The sequence below is a fragment of the Homo sapiens genome, chromosome 3 (assembly GCF_000001405.40).
Source record: "Homo sapiens chromosome 3, GRCh38.p14 Primary Assembly".
Classification (NCBI taxonomy): Eukaryota; Metazoa; Chordata; class Mammalia; order Primates; family Hominidae; genus Homo; species Homo sapiens.
The window spans coordinates 44809697-44828405 of record NC_000003.12 but is presented as its reverse complement, the minus strand read 5'-3'; the positions used below and the strand labels follow the sequence as shown (position 1 = coordinate 44828405).

The window sequence follows — 18709 nt, the reverse complement described above, 5'->3', positions numbered from 1 at the left end:
ATCTATTGGTCACCCTGGAGGTGCAAGAAGAGGTAGGAGAACAAAATGTTAAACTAGCATTTATAAGAAAATGCACAGAGAGATGTAGCTTCAAACTCTACCAACCTTATCAGAATCTCTAGACTTTTCCAGGGAACTGATCACTTTTTCAGTAGCAAGCAAGCTCTCTTCTAGTTTCTGTACTTTTGCCATCTATGGTGAAAAAGAAATATTTTTAGAAGAATAATTAAATCGCAAAGTTAACCATACACACAGATAAACAAGTTGAAAGCAGCTTTTCATATTATAGAGTCTATGCTAGGAGTAATACTTGAAAATGATAAATTGGGTTGAAAGACAGTGATTTTGTGCTGTCTACCAGGAGACTACCAACAAATTATTATTGTAACCCTCTGGGAGTTAGAAAAACAAGAGTCGAAAAACAATAGGCCAGGCACGGTGGCTCAGGCCTGTAATCTCAGCACTTTGGGAGGCCAAGGTGGGTGGATCACTTGAGCTCAGGAGTTCGATCCTGGGCAACATGGTGAAACCCCATCTCTATAAAAAATACAAAAATTTAGCCAGGCATAGTGGTGCATGCCCATAGTCCCAGCTACTCGAGAGGCTGAGGTGGGAAAATCACCTGAGCTTGGGAAGTCAAGGCTACAGTGAGCCATCACTGCGCCACTGCACTGCAGCCTGGGTGACAGAGTGAGAAACTATCTTAAAAAAAGAAGAAAAAAATAAAATTAAAAATAATAGAACCAGCCCCAAATTCCATTTCTTTCTTACTAATTTCCAACATCTGCAAGCTGAAATCATTATAATAAGCCTTTTAGGTATCAGGAATAAAAGTTATAAACTTCAAATACTAGAGTTAGAGTAACAGGAATTTTACCTGCTGCTCACACTTGGCCGTCTCTTTCTGTTTCTCCTGACGTACAGCCTCAAGAACTTTTAAGATTTCTCTGGAAGAGAATAATTATCTTTTACCCCTGACTTCACTCAATGAAAACAGGAACTGAATCTGTTAGTACAGAATAGATTAAGTGCAAATGAACTTTGTTAGGCACACCCTTGGTGTCAGGCATTACCTTCCGGGGGGATCAGAAATTTGAACCCATTTCTTCAAAAATTATTCAATGAGAACCCATTTTTGTGCCATGACTGTTTTTCCTCAGAGTGTTTAGTACTCCTAAATATAACATATATCATATAGTATTTGTTTATTACCTGTCTCCCTGTGCTAGAAGTTAAAATCCACGAGGACAGGGATGTTTTGTTCACTGTTTCAACTCTAAATGTTCTGGAATTCACCAGATCAGTGCCTGGCTTGTTGGATATCAATAAATGTTTGAATAAATGAGTAAATGTCAATTGCTTGTCTCTCAACTGGATGTAAGCTCTACGTTCACCACTGTATACCAGGGCCTAGAAGAAAAGCGACCTCATAGGAAGAACTCCATAAGTACCTACTGAATAAACAAATTCTTCTCATTAGAGTGACTCTCAGCCTAGTGACCGAGGCCCAAAGATTCACTGAGACTACTAAGGAGAGGAACCTGGAAAGAGGGAAGAAATATGGCAGCATTCCTGTTAGGGGACATTCCTGGTAGAAAAAGATTTGTAGACACAGAAATAAAAATCTGTCTCCTCCTTCCAATAATAAAAGGAAGAGTTAGAAGTCATCTTATTATATATTTGCTGTGATTTATTTACAGAAGGCCCTGAGTTCTGATTACCACCAATTGCTATTCATTTAAAAGTACTATAGCTAGTTGTTACATGTTTTGAAAAATTAAGTTTCTCCACATAGCCATTTATACAAAAGAACCTGCTGTTGCTTTTGGAATGCTTTAAAAAAATAACTCTTTACAGGGTATTGGCAATAAAAAAAAAACAAGATTAAGAATGTGGTATTAAACAATATTCTAGTATGCTAGTAGAAAAAATAAATAGCACTCACTTAGAACTGTTTTCTTTATCTTCTTCAAACTGTAATGATAATTTGTTATTGCGTTCTTTTTCTGCCTCAAGAAGCTCCATCAAATTCTAAAAGACAACATTAGATTTTAAGTAACTGTTACTAGCAATGCATAGTCAACGAACATGTCAAGTACCTTCTATGTGGCAGGCACTGTGGGCAAGTATAGCAAAGAAGGAGGAAAGGACAGTCCTTGTCCTACACTCAAAAGGACAGTCACAGATGCGGGACAAATTCACCCTTCTTAACATACATTCAGATCAGATTTCAGAGTTTCATTTTCTTTTTTGAAGTTTTGGAGGTTTCTTGAAAGTTGGTCAATCTCAAATTTCATTATTTCTTGTAAGTTGTCATAGGAATCCTGTAGGCAGGCTTTGCTCTCAAGCAGCTTTTCGTTTTCTAACCTTTATAAGGAAAACATTTTAAAAATGGTAAATAAACATTTAATGTATTTCTATTAATCAGATCATCTGCAGTTCAATTTATCTCATCTACAGCCCATTCCCAACTCACATAAGCCTCGAGTGATATAAGGCTCCTTATGGACCTGTGTGAAATGTCCATGATGCACAAACATGTGAGACACACTGGACCATAGAGTAGTTTGGTAGGAACAGAAAAGACAAGTGGGAGCATTAGCTTGCAAGCATCACTTCCTCATTCTTTCTCCATGGCTTCAACCAGACATGCTTAATGGATGAGCAATTTATAGTGATTAGACTCATTTAGGGGTTTCCAGACCTAATGCTCACGTAAGCCAGGCACTGGCTGTTAATTTCCAAGTTTTATTGATAGCTCAACTCCAACTATTCATACATCCTCTCAGCTCTAGGAACATTAAGATGACAATGTGAATTTGATTTGAGCAAGAAAGAAAATGTTTTTGGAAGATAATTACTGCTTTTTTTGGTTTTCATCCTCTTATTTCCCTCCTGAGTAAGCTGTAGCACCTCCAAGAATCCAGAGCTCAGCCAAGAACTACCACACAATCAATCTGACCTCTGGATCATCCAAAGCAGATGTCCTAGCTTATGTACAGAAGGTTATTATATATGGAATATCTGCTGTACTAACTCAAAGCAGAGCAGAAGCAGCAAATCATAAAGTGGTATAAATCAATTGCTAAAGACAGATACATGGGCAATAGATGGTAGGGAAGGGGAACATATTTATGTATTTATGGCATAAACTATATAGATATAGATATATAAAGTAGACAAAATAATTCAAGAAACACATGGCAGTGTCATGCTGTTTCATTCACAGGACTTAACAACCATTGAAGGCCACAGTGGAATATAAGCAGCCCAGTAAATGATGTACTTAAACTGGAGACACTGAGAAGGTTAAATTGTGTTCAGTGTATTTAAAAAGCTAGGAAGAGGCTGGGCACAGTGGCTCATGCCTCTAATCCCAGCACTTTGGGAAGCTGAGGTGGGTGGACTGCTTGAGCTCAGGGGTTTGAAAACAGCCTGGACAACATGGCGAAACTCTGTCTCTACAAAAAATACAAAAATTAGCTGGGTGCACTGGCATGTGCCTGTAGTCCCAGCTATGTGGGGAGCTGAGGTGGGAGGACAGCTTGAGCCCGGGATATTGAGGCTGCAGTAAGCCGTGTTTATGCCACTGTGCTCCAGCCTGGGTGACAAAGTGAGACACTGTCTCAAAAACAAACAAACAAACAAACCTAGGAAGTATTTAATGATGAAAATAGAATTTAAGTATGTAGCAAAATATAGTGGATTCTTAACATTTTTTGATGTAGTTCAACTCTGACATATAAACATTAGGAAATTAAGATCCCATGAGATTAGTGACTTCAAAACAAATTACACAAAATAGTTTGAGTTGAGGCCAAGATTATTAGATCCAGTGATTCAGAAGTTAAAACAAATGCTAAGGGTAAGAGAAGGCAACAGTGCACCTGTGATAAGTTATCAATAAATTACCTATTTTGTTTAACTAATTTGAGTTGGGTTATACCACTGCACTTCAAGTAGATTACAGGCCAATCAGACAACTAGATAAGTGGACTTGGTGCTGGGGAAATGGGACAGGGTGGTGGAGGCTGTGCTGACCCAGACAGCACATTCTGTCTCTAAAGAGAAAGGGGTGAATTTTGCAGCAACTGATGGCTGCCATGCAGGGATGTGGGCCTAGTGGTACCAAATAGTATGACTTTGCTAGAGAATGCTGAAATATAGATTTTTATAATAAAACACTCAATTTTTAAAATGCTATGTTCATTTATTTTTCTTTAGCCACTGGGCAGGCCTAAGAAAAATGTATGTGAATTAGGCAAGATGGCCAAACAGGAAGAGCTGCAGTCTGCAGCTCCCAGCGGGATCGATGCAGAAGATGGGTGATTTTTACATTTCCAACTGAGGTACCTGGTTCATCTCACTGGGACTGGTTGGACAGTGGGTGCAGACCACGGAGGGCAAGCTGAAGCAGGGTGGGCGTCGCCTCACCCAGGAAGCGCAAGGGGTCGGGGAATTTCCCTTTCCTAGCCAAGGGAAGCCATGACAGACTGTACCTGGAAAAATGGGACACTTCTGCCATAATACTGAGCTTTTCCAATGGTCTTATCAAATGGCATACCAGAAGATTATATCCCGCACCTAGCTCGGTGGGTCCCACGCCCACGGAGCCTCACTCACTGCTAGCACAGCAGTCTGAGATCGACCTGTGAGGCAGCAGCCTGGCAGGGGGAGGGCCATCCGCCATTGCTGAGGCTTGAGTAGGTAAACAAAGCGGCCTGGAAGCTTGAACTGGGTGGAGCCCACCACAGCTCAGCAAGGCCGGCTGCCTCTATAGATTCCACCTGTGGGGGCAGAGCATAGCTGAGCAAAAGGCAGCAGAAACCTCTGCAGACTTAAACATCCCTGTCTGATAGCTCTGAAGAGTACAGTGGTTCTCCCAACACGGTGTTTGAGCACTGAGAATGGACAGACTGCCTCCTCAAGTGGGTCCCTGACCTCTGTGTAGCCTAACTGGGATAAACCTCCCAGTAGGGGCCGACTGACACCTCATACAGGTGGGTGCCCCTCTGGGACGAAGCTTCCAGAGGAAGGATCAGGCAGCAATATTTGCTGTTCTGCAGCCTCCGCTGGTGATACCCAGGCAAACAGGGTCTGGAGTGAGCCTCCAGCAAACACCAACAGAGCTGCAGCTGAGGGACCTGACTGTTAGAAGGAAAACTAACAAACAGAAAGGAATAGCATCAACACCAACAAAAAGGGCATCCATACCAAAACCCCATCTGTCAGTCACCAATATCAAAGACCAAAGGTAGATAAAACCACAAAAATGGGGAGAAACCACAGGAGAAAAGCTGAAAATTCTAAAAACCAGAGCGCCTCTTCTCCTCCAAAGGATTGTAGCTCCTCACCAGCAATAGAACAAAGCTGGACGAGAATAACTTTGACGAGTTGACAGAAGTAGGCTTCAGAAGGTCGGTAATAACAAACTTCGACAAGCTAAAGGACCATGTTCAAACCCAATGCAAGGAAGCTAAAAACCTTGAAAAAAGATTAGACGAATGGCTAACTAGAATAAACAGTGTAGAGAAGACCTTAAATGAACTGATGGGGCTGAAAACCAGAGCATGAGAACTTCATGACACCTGCACAAGGCTTCAACAGTCGATTCGATCAAGTGGAAGAAAGGGTATCACTGAGTGAAGATCAAATCAATGAAATAAAGCGAGAAGAGAAGTTTAGAGAAAAAAGAGTAAAAAGAAATGAACAAAGCCTCCAAGAAACATGGGACTATGTGAAAAGACCAAATCTACATTTGATTGGTGTACCTGAAAGTGATGGGGATAATGGAACCAAGTTGGAAAACACTCTTCAGGATATTATCCAGGAGAACTTCCCCAACCTAGCAAGGCAGGCCAACATTCAAATTCAGGAAAAACAGAGAATACCACAAATATACTCCTCGAGAAGAGCAACCCCAAGACACATAATTGTCAGATTCACCAAGGTTGAAATGAAGGAAAAAATGTTAAGGGCAGCCAGAGTGAAAGGTCGGGTTACCCACAAAGGGAAGCCCATCAGACTAACAGCGGATCTCTCAGCAGAAACTCTACAAGCCAGAAGAGAGTGGGGGGCAATATTCAACATTCTTAAATAAAGAATTTTCAACCCAGAATTTCATATCCAGCCAAACTAAGATTCATAAGTGAAGGAGAAATAAAATCCTTTACAGACAAGCAAATGCTGAGAGATTTTGTCACCATCAGGCCTGACTTACAAGAGCTCCTAAAGAAAGCACTAAAAATGGAAAGGAACAACCAGTACCAGCCACTGCAAAAACATGCCAAATTGTAAAGACCATCGACGCTAGGAAGAAACTGCATCGGTACTGCTGACATCTCAGCTCACTGCAACCTCCCTGCCTGATTCTCCTGCCTCAGCTTGCCGAGTGCCTGCAATTGCAGGCACGCACCGCCACGCCTGACTGGTTTTCGTATTTTTTTGGTGGAGACGGGGTTTCGCTGTGTTGGCCGGGCTGGTCTCCAGCTCCTAACCGCGAGTGATCCGCCAGCCTCGGCCTCCCGAGGTGCCGGGATTGCAGACGGAGTCTGGTTCACTCAATGCTCAATGTTGCCCAGGCTGGAGTGCAGTGGCGTGATCTCAGCTCGCTACAACCTCCACCTCCCAGCCGCCTGCCTTGGCCTCCCAAAGTGCCGAGACTGCAGCCTCTGCCCAGCCGCCACCCTGTCTGGGAAGTGAGGAGCGTCTCTGCCTGGCCGCCCATCATCTGGGACGTGAGGAGCCCCTCTGCCTGGCTGCCCAGTCTGGAAAGTGAGGAGCGCCTCTTCCCAGCCGCCATCCCATCTAGGAAGTGAGGAGCGCCTCTTCCCGGCCGCCATCCCATCTAGGAAGTGAGGAGCGTCTCTGCCCGGCCACTCATCGTCTGAGATGTGGGGAGCGCCTCTGCCCCGCCGCCCCGTCTGGGATGTGAGGAGTGCCTCTACCCGGCCGCAACCCCGTCTGGGAGGAGAGGAGCGTCTCTGCCCGACCGCCCCGTCTGAGAAGTGAGGAGCCCCTCCGCCCGGAAGCCGCCCCGTCTGAGAAGTGAGGAGCGTCACCGCCCCGCAGCCACCCCGTCCAGGAAGGAGGTGGGGGTCACCCACCGCCAGGCCAGCCGCCCCGTCCAGGAGGGAGGTGGGGGGGTCAGCCCTCCGCCCGGCCAGCCGCCCCGTCCGGGAGGTGAGGGGCGCCTCTGCCCAGCCGCCCCTACTGGGAAGTGAGGAGCCCCTCTGCCCGGCCAGCTGCCCCGTCCGGGAGGGAGGTGGGGGGGTCAGCCCCCCGCCCGGCCAGCCGCCCGGTCCGGGAGGGAGGTGGGGGGGGTCAGCCCGCCACCCGGCCTGCCGCCCCATCCGGGAGGGAGGTGGGGGGGTCAGCCCCCCCGCCCGGCCAGCCGCCCCGTCCGGGAGGGAGGTGGGGGGGTCAGCCCCCTGCCCGGCCAGCCACCCCGTCCGGGAGGTGAGGGGCGCCTCTGCCCGGCCGCCCCTACTGGGAGGTGAGGAGCCCCTCTGCCCGGCCACCACCCCGTCTGGGAGGTGTGCCCGGCAGCTCATTGAGAACGGGCCATGATGACAATGGCGGTTTTGTGGAGTAGAAAGTGGGGAGAGGTGGGGAAAAGAGTGAGAAATCGGATGGTTGCCGTGTTTGTGTAGTAGGAGGTAGACATGGGAGACTTTTCATTTTGTTCTGTACTAAGAAAAATTCTTCTGCCTTGGGATCTTGTTGATCTGTGACCTTACCCCCAACCCTGTGCTCTCTGAAACATGTGCTGTGTCCACTCAGGGTTAAATGGATTAAGGGCGGTGCAAGATGTGCTTTGTTAAACAGATGCTTGAAGGCAGCATGCTCGTTAAGAGTCATCACCACTCCCTAATCTCAAGTACCCAGGGACACAAACACTGCGGAAGGCCGCAGGGTCCTCCGCCTAGGAAAACCAGAGACCTTTGTTCACTTGTTTATCTGCTGACCTTCCCTCCACTATTGTCCTGTGACCCTGCCAAATCCCCCTCTGTGAGAAACACCCAAGAATGATCAATAAAAAATAAATAAAAGTTTAAAAAAAAAAAAGGAAAAAAAAAAGAAACTGCATCAACTAACGAGCAAAATAACCAGCTAACATCATAATGACAGGATCAAATTCACACATAACAATATTAACCTTAAATGTAAATGGGCTAAATGCCCCAATTAAAAGACACCAACTGGCAAATTGGATAGTCAAGACCCATTGGTGTGCTGTATTCAGGAGACCCATCTTACGTGCAGAGACACACATAGGTTCAAAATAAAGGGATGGAGGAAGATCTACCAAGCAAATGGAAAGCAAAAAAAACCAGCGATTGCAATCCTAGTCTCTGATAAAACAGACTTTAAACCAACAAAGATCAAAAGAGACAAAGAAGGCCATTACATAATGATAAAGGGATCAATTCAACAAAAAGAGCTAACTATCCTAAATATATATGCACCCAATACAGGAGCACCCAGATTCATAAAGCAAGTCCTGAGTGACCTACAAAGAGACTTAGACTCCCACACAATAATAATGGGAGACTTTAACACCCCACTGTCAATATTAGACAGATGAATGAGACAGAAGGTTAACAAGGGTATCCAGGACTTGAACTCAGCTCTGGACCAAGCGGACCTAATAGACATCTACAGAACTCTCCACCCCAAATCAACAGAATATACATTCTTCTCAGCACCACATCGCACTTATTCCAAAATTGACCACATAGTTAAAAGTAAAGCACTCCTCAGCAAATGTAAAAAAAACAGAAATCACAACAAACTGTCTCTTAGACCACAGTGCAATAAATTAGATCTCAGGATTAAGAGACTCACTCAAAACTGCACCACTACATGGAAACTGAACAACTTGCTCCTGAATGACTACTGGGTAAATAACGAAATGAAGGCAGAAATAAAGATGTTCTTTGAAATCAATGAGAACAAAGATACAATGTACCAGAATCTCTGGGACACATTCAAAGCAGTGTGTAGAGGGAAATTCATAGCACTAAATGCCCACAGGAGAAAGCAGGAAAGATCTAAAATCGACACCCTAACATCACAATTAAAAGAACTAGAGAAGCAAGAGCAAACAAATTCAAAAGCTAGCAGAAGGCAGGAAATAACTAAGATCAGAGCAGAACTGAAGGAGATAGAGACATAAAAAACCCTTCAGAAAATTAATGAATCCAGGAGCTGGTTTTTTGAAAAGATCAACAAAATTGATAAGACTGCTAGCAAGACTAATAAAGAAGAAAAGAGAGAAGAATCAAATAGATGCAATAAAAAATGATAAAGGGGATATCACCACCTATCCCACAGAAATACAAACTACCATCAGAGAATACTATAAACACCTCTACGCAAATAAACTAGAAAATCTAGAAGAAATGGATGAATTCCTGGACACATACACCCTCCCAAGACTAAACCAGGAAGAAGCTGAATCTCTGAATACACCAATAACAGGCTCTGAAATTGAGGCCATAATTAATAGCCTAGCAACCAAAAAAAGTCTAGGACCAGACGGATTCACAGCCAAATTCTATCAGAGGTACAAAGAGGAGCTGGTACCATCCCTTCTGAAACTATTCCAATCAATAGAAAAAGAGGGAATACTCCCTAACTCATTTTATGAGGCCAGCATCATCCTGATACCAAAGCCTGGCAGAGACACAACAAAAAAAGAGAATTTTAGATCAATATTTCTGATGAACATCGATGCAAAAATCCTCAATAAAATACTGGCAAAGTGAATCCAGCAGCACATCAAAAAGCTTATCCACCACAATAAAGTCGGCTGTATCTATGGCATGCAAGGCTGCTTCAACATACGCAAATCAATAAATGCAATCCATCACATAAACAGAACCAATGACAAAAACCACATGATTATCTCAATAGATGCAGAAAAGGCCTTCGACAAAATTCAACAGCACTTCATGCTAAAAACTCTCAATAAACTAGATATTGATGGAACGTATCTCAAAATAATAAGAGCTATTTATGACAAACCCACAGCCAATATCATACTGAATGGACAAAAACTGGAAGCATTCCCTTTGAAAACTGGCACAAGACAGGGATGCCCTCTCTTACCACTCCTCTTCAATATAGTGTTGGAAGTTCTGGCCAGGGCAATCAGGCAAGAGAAAGAAATAAAGTGTATTCAATTAGGAAAAGGGGAAGTCAAATTGTCCCTGTTTGCAGATGACATGATTGTATATTTAGAAAACCCCATCATCTCAGCCCAAAATCTCCTTAAGCTGATAAGCAACTTCAGCAAAGTCTCAGGATAGAAAATCAATGTGCAAAAATCACAAGCATTCCTATGTACCAATAACAGACAAACGGAGAGCCAAATTATGAGTGAACTCCCATTCACAGCTGCTACAAAGAGAATAAAATACCTAGGAATCCAACTTACAAGGGATGTGAAGGACCTCTTCAAGGAGAACTACAAACCACTGCTCAACGAAATAAAAGAGGACACAAACAAATGGAAGAACATTCCATGCTCATGGGTAGGAAGAATCAATATTGTGAAAATGGCCATACTGCCCAAGATAATTTTATAGATTCAATGCCATCCCCATCAAGCTATCAATGACTTTCTTCACAGAATTGGAAAAAACTACTTTAAAGTTCATATGTAACCAAAAAAGAGCCCGCATTGCCAAGACAATCCTAAGCCAAAAGAACAAAGTTGGAGGCATCACGCTACCTGACTTCAAACTATACTACAAGGCTACAGTAACCAAAACAGCATGGTACTGGTACCAAAACAGAGATATAGACCAACGGAACAGAACATAGGTCTCAGAAATAATACCACACATCTACAACCATCTGATCTTTGACAAACCTGAGAAAAACAAGAAATGGGGAAAGGGTTTCCTGTTTAATAAATGGTGCTGGGAAAACTGGCTAGCCATATGTAGAAAGCTGAAACTGGATCCCTTCCTTACACTTTATACAAAAATTAATTCAAGATGGATTAAAGACTTAAATGTTGGACCTAAAACCATAAAAACCCTAGAAGAAAACCTAGGCAATACCATTCAAGACATACGCATGGGCAAAGACTTCATGAGTAAAACACCAAAAGCAATGGCAACAAAAGACAAAATAGACAAATGGGATCTAATTAAACTAAAGAGCCTCTGCACAGCAAAAGAAATGACCATCAGAGTGAACAGGCAACCTACAGAATGGGAGAAAATTTTTGCAATCTACCCATCTGACAAAGGGCTAATATCCAGAATCTACAAAGAACTTAAACAAATTTACAAGAAAAAAACAAACAACCTCATCAAAAAGTGGGCAAAGGATATGAACAGACACTTCTCAAAAAAAAAACATTTATGCAGCCAAGAGACACATGAAAAAAATGCTCATCATCACTGGTCATCAGATAAATGCAAATCAAAACCACAATGAGACACCATCTCACACCAGTTAGAATGGCAATCATTAAAGTCAGGGAACAAAAGATGCTGGAGAGGATGTGGAGAAATAGGAACACTTTTACGCTGTTGGTGAGAGCGTAAATTAGTTAAACCATTGTGGAAGACAGTGTGGCAATCCCTCAAGGATCTAGAACTAGAAATACCATTTGAGCCACCGATCCCATTACTGGGTATATACCCAAAGGATTATAAATCATGCTACTATAAAGACACATGCACACATATGTTTATTGTGGCACTATTCACAATAGCAAAGACTTGGAACCAACCCAAATGTCCATCAATGATAGACTAGATTAAGAAAATGTGGCACATATACACATGGAATACTATGCAGCCATAAAAAAGGATGAGTTCATGTCCTTTGCAGGGACATGGATGAAGCTGGAAACCATCATTCTCAGCAAACTATCACAAGGACAGAACACCAAACACCTCATGTTCTCACTCATAGGTGGGAACTGAACAATGAGAACACGTGGACACAGGGCGGGGAACATCACACTGGGGCCTGTCAAGGGGTGGGGGGCTGGGGGAGGAATAGCATTAGGAGGAATACCTAATGTAAATGATGAGTTAATGGGTACAGCAAAGCAACATGGCACATGTATACCTATGTAACAAACCTGCACGTTGTGCACATGTACCCTAGAAATTAAAGTAAAATTTAAAAAAATTTTAAAAAAAGGAGAAGCAGCAGCAGCAGATAAATATGGGATTTTGCCTAAAACTCAAGCTATTCAACATTCAGTGAGATAGAGATATGGCAAGGAAAGGTTACAAATGTCATCACTTTCTCTTTTATGAAACTATTGTCAGTATTTCATTAGTAATAATTATGCATTTTTTTCATTTTACAAATAGAAATGAATCTTTAAAAAAAAAAGAAAAATGTATGTATAGGTGGCTCTGGCCTGCAGATCTCAAGTTTTCTTCCTCTCTTTCAATTTCTGGTTGTATATCCAAAAAACACTCAACAGCTACAGATTTTAATCTTTGTAACATCTACAAAAATTAAACTCAAGGCTGCCTACTAGTAGCTTTTCCAGAGCAAACAGTTACATTCACATCACATTCACAGTGTAACATTCATGTCCATTATTAAATTATGGCTTATAGACACAGGAGACATTATCAAAAAGTGTTATGTTATACAAAAGGTTGAAATTAGCAAGAAGAAAAAAAGAAACAGTAAATAACAAAGAATAAACTATTTAGATGTGAGATTACATTTGTTTCAAGATATCAGCACTTGACTAATCAGCCAGCCTTTGTAGAGTTAGTGTGCACAGCAGTGAAGACTATTGTTTTGGTTTACCTTATACTGACTGTCCTTTCTTCTAGTAAGAGCACACCTTTCCCTCCAGAGCAGGCACATTACTCTATGTCAGGCCAGTGCCATCTCAAACCTGGTAAAGTGACTGGTCCAAAGGTGAGCAGATGACTCAAGCAAAACCAATTCAGATTTTCTCTGGGATAATACATGGCTATTGGGAGAGAGAATTTCTTTACAGGGGTTTTTATCCTGGGAACCAAAATATGGAGCTGTGTGAGGCAATCTGTTCCTTGTCACATAGAAGAAGGACCTCAGTAATAGGAGGGAATAAGAGCAACACATAGAACTGAGCATAGCTGAGAGAGATAGAACACTGACAATATTGCTTGAGACTCAGACTAGTTTGTTCCTGAAACCAAAATCACCTCTGGGGCTTCCAATATTGGAGCCAATAAATTATCTTTTTTATTTGTCTAACTGCTTTGAGTTGAGTTTATAACACTTCCAACTTCAAACAGTCGTAGGTTACAGCCAATCAGGCAACTTGAAACCATAAAAGAACAACTCTACCTGAGATTATCTAATTGAAGCTGTACATGCATGTGTCTTTCGGAAAGTTTGTTGAATTCTTTCTCCTGATTCGTTTTGAATGAACTATATTCCAATTTCACTGAAGAAAGCTCCTTGTCAGCAGAATGAAGGACTACTCGCAGGTCATGTACCTCACTTTTCAAAACTAAAAAACAAAGAAAACATATCCTCAGTAGGTTTCTTAAAGCAGACAAATAAATCTGATAGGTACTAGTCCCACAATTAGCAAAATCAAGTCGAAGAGACTATTTTAAGGAAAAATGTTAAAGAATTAAGTGGCGGGTACCTAGCAGCACTGAGATTTCTATTTTCTTCCTCTCCCTTGCACATGGTTTTTCGTAAATTTCTACTGAAATAGAAAGCATTAACATCTGTCCCTGACTTACAGGTCACTTGACTTTGCTAGATTTCTCCTGTAAAATGTGCTTCAAAACTCCTAATATAAGGGCAGACACAGTGGCTTATGCCTATAATCCCAGTACTTTGTGAGGCTGAGGCAGGCGAAATGCTTGAGGTCAGGAGTTCGAGACCAGACTGAGCAACATGGCAAAACCCTGTCTCTACCAAAAATACAAAAAATTAGCTGGCTGTGGTGGTGAGCACCTGTGGTCCCATCTACTCAGGAGGCTGAGGTGGGAGGATCGCTTGAGCCTGGGAGTTGGAGGTTACAGTGAGCCGAGATTGCACCCACTGCACTCCAGCCTGGGTGACAAAGTGAGACTCTGTCTCAAAACAAACAAACAAACAAAACTCTTAATATAAGAAAAAAAAATTAAAAGATGTAACATATTTTGAGTGAGCTCATCTTAGTTATTGAAAATCCCTTGGAAATTTGCCTAAACTTTCCAACATGGGTTAACTACTTCAGGTCTTCTAAGACAACTACAACTGCAAATAGTATTAGTTAACTTTTTAGTTCAAAGAAAATAGAATGGCTATCTCTTTTTGTTTTAGCTTTATTACAAACCACTGCAAATACTTTAATGAAGGGAAAAATAAAGTGAAAAAATTGGGAATCAAATGATATTCCCACATCTACAAACATATACAAATATATAACCTACGCTTTGTTAATATTAAAACATTCATGAATTCAAGACACTTCATTTTCAAAGCAGCTTATCTAAAACTTTAAGCAGGCTGGGCACAGTGGCTCACGCCTGTAATCCCAGCACTTTGGGAGGCCGAGGTGGGTGGATCACCTGAGGTCAGGAGTTCATGACCAGCCTGGCCAACATGGCGAAACCGTGTCTCTCCTAAAATTAGCCGGGCTTGGTGGTGCACGCCTATAATCCCAGCTACTTGGGAGGAGACAGGAGAACTGCTTGAACCCAGGAGCTGGAGGTTGCAGTGAGCCGCCGAGATCCCGCCACTGCGCTCCAGCCTGGGTGACAAAGCAAGACTCCACCTCAAAAAAAAAAAAAACAAAACAAACAAAACAAAAAAAAAATGACCAAAGAAAAAAAAAATTAGCCAGGCATGGTAATGCACTCCTGTAATCCCAGCTACTACTCAGGAGGCTGAGGTGGGGAATCGCTTGAACTCGGGAGGTGGAGGTTGCAGTGAGCCAAGATCATGCCACTGGACTCCTGCCTGGGTGACAAAGCGAGAGTCTGTGTCAAAAACAAACAAACAACAAAAAACTTTAAGCAAACATTTGTATCATTTGTTTGTGGGCAATGATAGAGAAATTTACCTTTTATGATATATTACTGTTACTTACCACTGCATGCAAACTGCAGTCTGGTTATCAAACAAACAACAACAACAAAGCAACCATCCAAAAACATAGGAACAGCATTTATTAATAAAAGTAAAAAGATATTGAGTTACAGTATTCCTTCAAGTCACAAAGCTCCTGATAGAATAACTTACAGTCATTTTTAGTTTGAGTCTCTTGAAGCTGCTTTTCAAGGACATTCAACTGTGAGAGAAGCTCTTCCTGCTGTTTGGTCCAATCAATTCTTTCTGATGAGAAAAGCTTTGGGAAAAAAGATAAATTTACTGGAAAAGGAATACTGGCATGCTAAGATGCACTCCAAATCATTAACCTGTTTCTTTTTTTTTTTTTGAGACAGAGTCTTGCTCTGTCACCCAGGCTGGAGTGCAGTGATGCGACCTCGGCTCACTTCAACCTCCGCCTCCTGGGTTCAAGTGATTCTCCTGCCTCAGCCTCCTGAGTAGCTGTGACTACAGACCCACGCCACCACGTCCAGCTAAGTTTTGTATTTTTAGTAGAGACGGGGTTTCGCCACCTTGGCCAGGCTGGTCTTGATCTCTTGACCTCAGACGATCCACCTGCCTTGGCTTCCCAAAGTGCTGGGATTACAGGTGTTAGCCACTGTGCCTGGCCCCATTAACCTGTCCCTGTTTTTAAAGTCTAGCTTTAACGTCTCTGACCAGAAGAAAATTGGCTGTCCCCATGAACTACAGTAAAGATGATTAACAACTATGAAGCCATGGACAGTCCATCTTGGTTTCTTCTAAACACATAGCAAGGGATCCATTTGCATTATTGACTAAGTCAGCCAGGTTTAGACTATGCATGCCTGTCTCATTATCAGAGCAGCATGCTAAGTAACAAGGTAGAGAATACAGCTCAAATAAGCCTTCACTAAGGCCATGTGACAACATTTTCTTTCTGTGATACTCTCTGAATATGTTTCATGCATACTCAAGGATGTTTGAGGATCCTTGAGGATGTTTCCTCAAGGTAACATTTGAGGGTACTTCATACATTTTCTGAGGCTGTGCTCTTGGTCTCACCTCCTGCATTTGGGTAGAATGATGTTCCAGTTTGTCAACATGCTGCTGAAGCTTTAGGTTTTTATGCTCTTCTTCATCCAGTTTGGCTTGAAGAGCACTCATTTGTTCCTGCAACACAAAAACTTCAGTCATCAAAATTTATTTTAATGGAATTCTCAAACATTCCACCATTTCGTCTGCATTAAAGAGACAACAAAACAAAACAAAACAAATTCAAAACCTCATATGAACAAAGGTATCAAAGGCCTGTTTGGAGCCAGAAAACATCATCAAAAGGTTATATACTAAATGATTGCTAATGTTTCAGATTTACACTTGTGGTCCATTAAAGTAGACACTTTGAAATACAAAGGAAAGAAGTGATTAAAATTAAAATCCTGGATTACATGACAGAGCCATCTTGAGACTTCTAAGAAGCTTCCTCAGGGCTGCAAGCGGTTACCTCCATGGCCTGGAAAGGACAAAATACTGGGGTTTGGGGTGGTCTGGCCCACTCCAACTTTTACTGGACAGTAGAAAACCTTTTTAAAAAATTAACAAACCATAAAAATTCTGGAATAATCAAATTTCACATTATTTCAAATATATTAAAAACTGTCTAAAATTTGATCTATAATAAGATTCTTTTAACTTTCTTTTTTTTTGAGACAGAGTTTCACTCTTGTTGCCCAGGCTAGAGTGCAGTGGCGCGATCTCGGCTCACTGCAACCTCCGCCTCCCGGGTTCAAGCAATTCTCCTGCCTCAGCCTCCCGAGTAGCTGGGATTACAGGCATGTACCACCACACCCGGCTAATTTTGTCTATTTAGTAGAGACGGGGTTTCACCATGTTGGTCAGGCTAGTCTCAAACTCTTGATCTCACGTGATATGCCTGCCTCAGCCTCCCAAAGTGCTGGGATTACAGGCGTGAGCCACCGCACCCGGCCTCTTTTAACTTTTTTTAGCAGATACAGCACTTTGCTATATAAACCAGTTCTGGAACTTGGAGCTAGTGGCCAACTGGTCATTTTATACACTAAGGAACAAAAACCCATGGAGAATGACTTGCTAAAGATTGTAAAGTAGAGACAAAAAGCAAGAGTGGGCTGATTTCCAATCTAGGAATGATTATAAACCCACACTTAAAAAGATATGATTTTAATACTAAGCACTTTTGAACACTGTAACTTATAGGGAATTAAAATAACAAAGCAAATGTATTTAAATGGATGTCCAGTTATTTATTTTTTCTAGAACAAAACATTACCTGCACTGTTCTAAGCTCTTCAGAAATGGCCTCAAAAGCTTGTTCATTCATCTCAGGAGGAACTGGCTCATTTAATATATCATTATCTAATATGCTAGAATTCTGAGTGTATAGAGAGCCAAAGCTTCCCATTTCAGGGCTTAATTTTGGTACTGGTCGGGAATGAAGTTGGTAGGCCTTGGTTGGTGTAGTTATAATCTGCAGCAAAAAATGATTATGGAAAACATTAGCACATATTTAAAAAGGGCATATTTAATAATTTTGTGAATAGAGAGGATAAAATTGAAATACTATTCATGAAAAGAAAGGAAAAAGTACCCTTGAGACACAGTACAAAAATGCCCAAGTGGAAATAAATTTATCAATTCAATGCAGTCCCAAGCAAAATTCTAATACAATTTTTAAAAATAAACTTAATGAGCTGATATCTATTTTCATACAAAGAATAAATGTACAAGAAGAGACAAGACAATTAAAAAGAACAAGCCAGGCATGGTGGTTCATGGCTATAATCCCAACACCGTGGGAGGCTGAGAAGGGGAGGATCACTTGAGGCCAGGAGTCCAAGACCAGGCTGGGCAACATAGTGAGATCCTGTCTCTACCAAAAAAAAAAATCATTTTAATTAGCTGGGCATGGTGTCCCAGGCCTGTAGTCCCAGCTACTTGGGAAGCTGAGGCAGGAGGATCCCCAGAGCCCAGGTGTTCTAGGTTGCAGTGAGCTATTATCACACCATTGCACTCCAGCCTGAGTGACAGACTGAGACCCTGTCTCTCAAAAAAATAAAAATAAAAAGAACAAATTAGGAAGACTTCCCCATCTGATATAAAAATACATAGGGGTATGGGAGTATGGTCATTAAAATAGTACATTACATTACAGTACATTATATTAAAACAGTACATTAGCTTATGTACATTCAAATAGAACACTGGGAGGAAATACAAAGTCCAGAAATAGAATTATTATTATTTTTTGAGACACAGTCTTGTTCTGTTGCCCAGGCTGGAGTGCAGTGGTGTAATCTTGGCTCACCACAACCTCTGCCTCCCAGGTTCAAGCAATTCTCCTGCCTCAGCCTCCCAAGTAGCTGGGACTACAGGCACACACCACCATGCCTGGTTAATTTTTGTAGTTTTAGTAGAGATGGGGTTTCACCATGTTGGCCAGGCTGGTCTCCAACTCCTGGCCTCAAGTGATCTGCCCGCTTTGGCCTCCCAAAGTGCTAGAATTACAGGCGTGAGACACCACACCCCGCCCAGAAATAGAATAATCTTTCTGTGGAAATTTTAGGTATCAGGAGTAGTTGAGACCAAAGGTGCACACCACCATGCTTGGCTAATTTAA

At 42.0% G+C, this 18709-nt stretch overlaps 1 protein-coding gene across 16 annotated transcripts in view; it reads right to left on the bottom strand.

Annotated features, from left to right (window-relative positions):
- KIF15 (kinesin family member 15) overlaps positions 1 to 18709 on the bottom strand; it is a 106894-nt gene that overhangs the window by 40282 nt on the left and 47903 nt on the right. For 14 of the 16 annotated variants that reach the window (XR_007095708.1, XR_007095709.1, XR_007095710.1 and 11 more), the window contains 8 exons: positions 17363 to 17560; positions 16117 to 16224; positions 15226 to 15331; positions 13330 to 13495; positions 2217 to 2367; positions 1946 to 2031; positions 878 to 947; positions 106 to 192 (listed from right to left, as the gene is read on the bottom strand). Coding sequence is in view for 11 of the 16 variants with exons in the window: in XM_017006884.3 (XP_016862373.1) it covers positions 106 to 192; positions 878 to 947; positions 1946 to 2031; positions 2217 to 2367; positions 13330 to 13495; positions 15226 to 15331; positions 16117 to 16224; positions 17363 to 17560 (972 nt within the window). In the remaining 5 variants the exon portion in view is untranslated. The remainder of the gene's footprint in view (positions 1 to 105; positions 193 to 877; positions 948 to 1945; positions 2032 to 2216; positions 2368 to 13329; positions 13496 to 15225; positions 15332 to 16116; positions 16225 to 17362; positions 17561 to 18709) is intronic. The other 2 variants (XM_011533964.4, XM_047448603.1) reach the window with 1 other exon arrangement.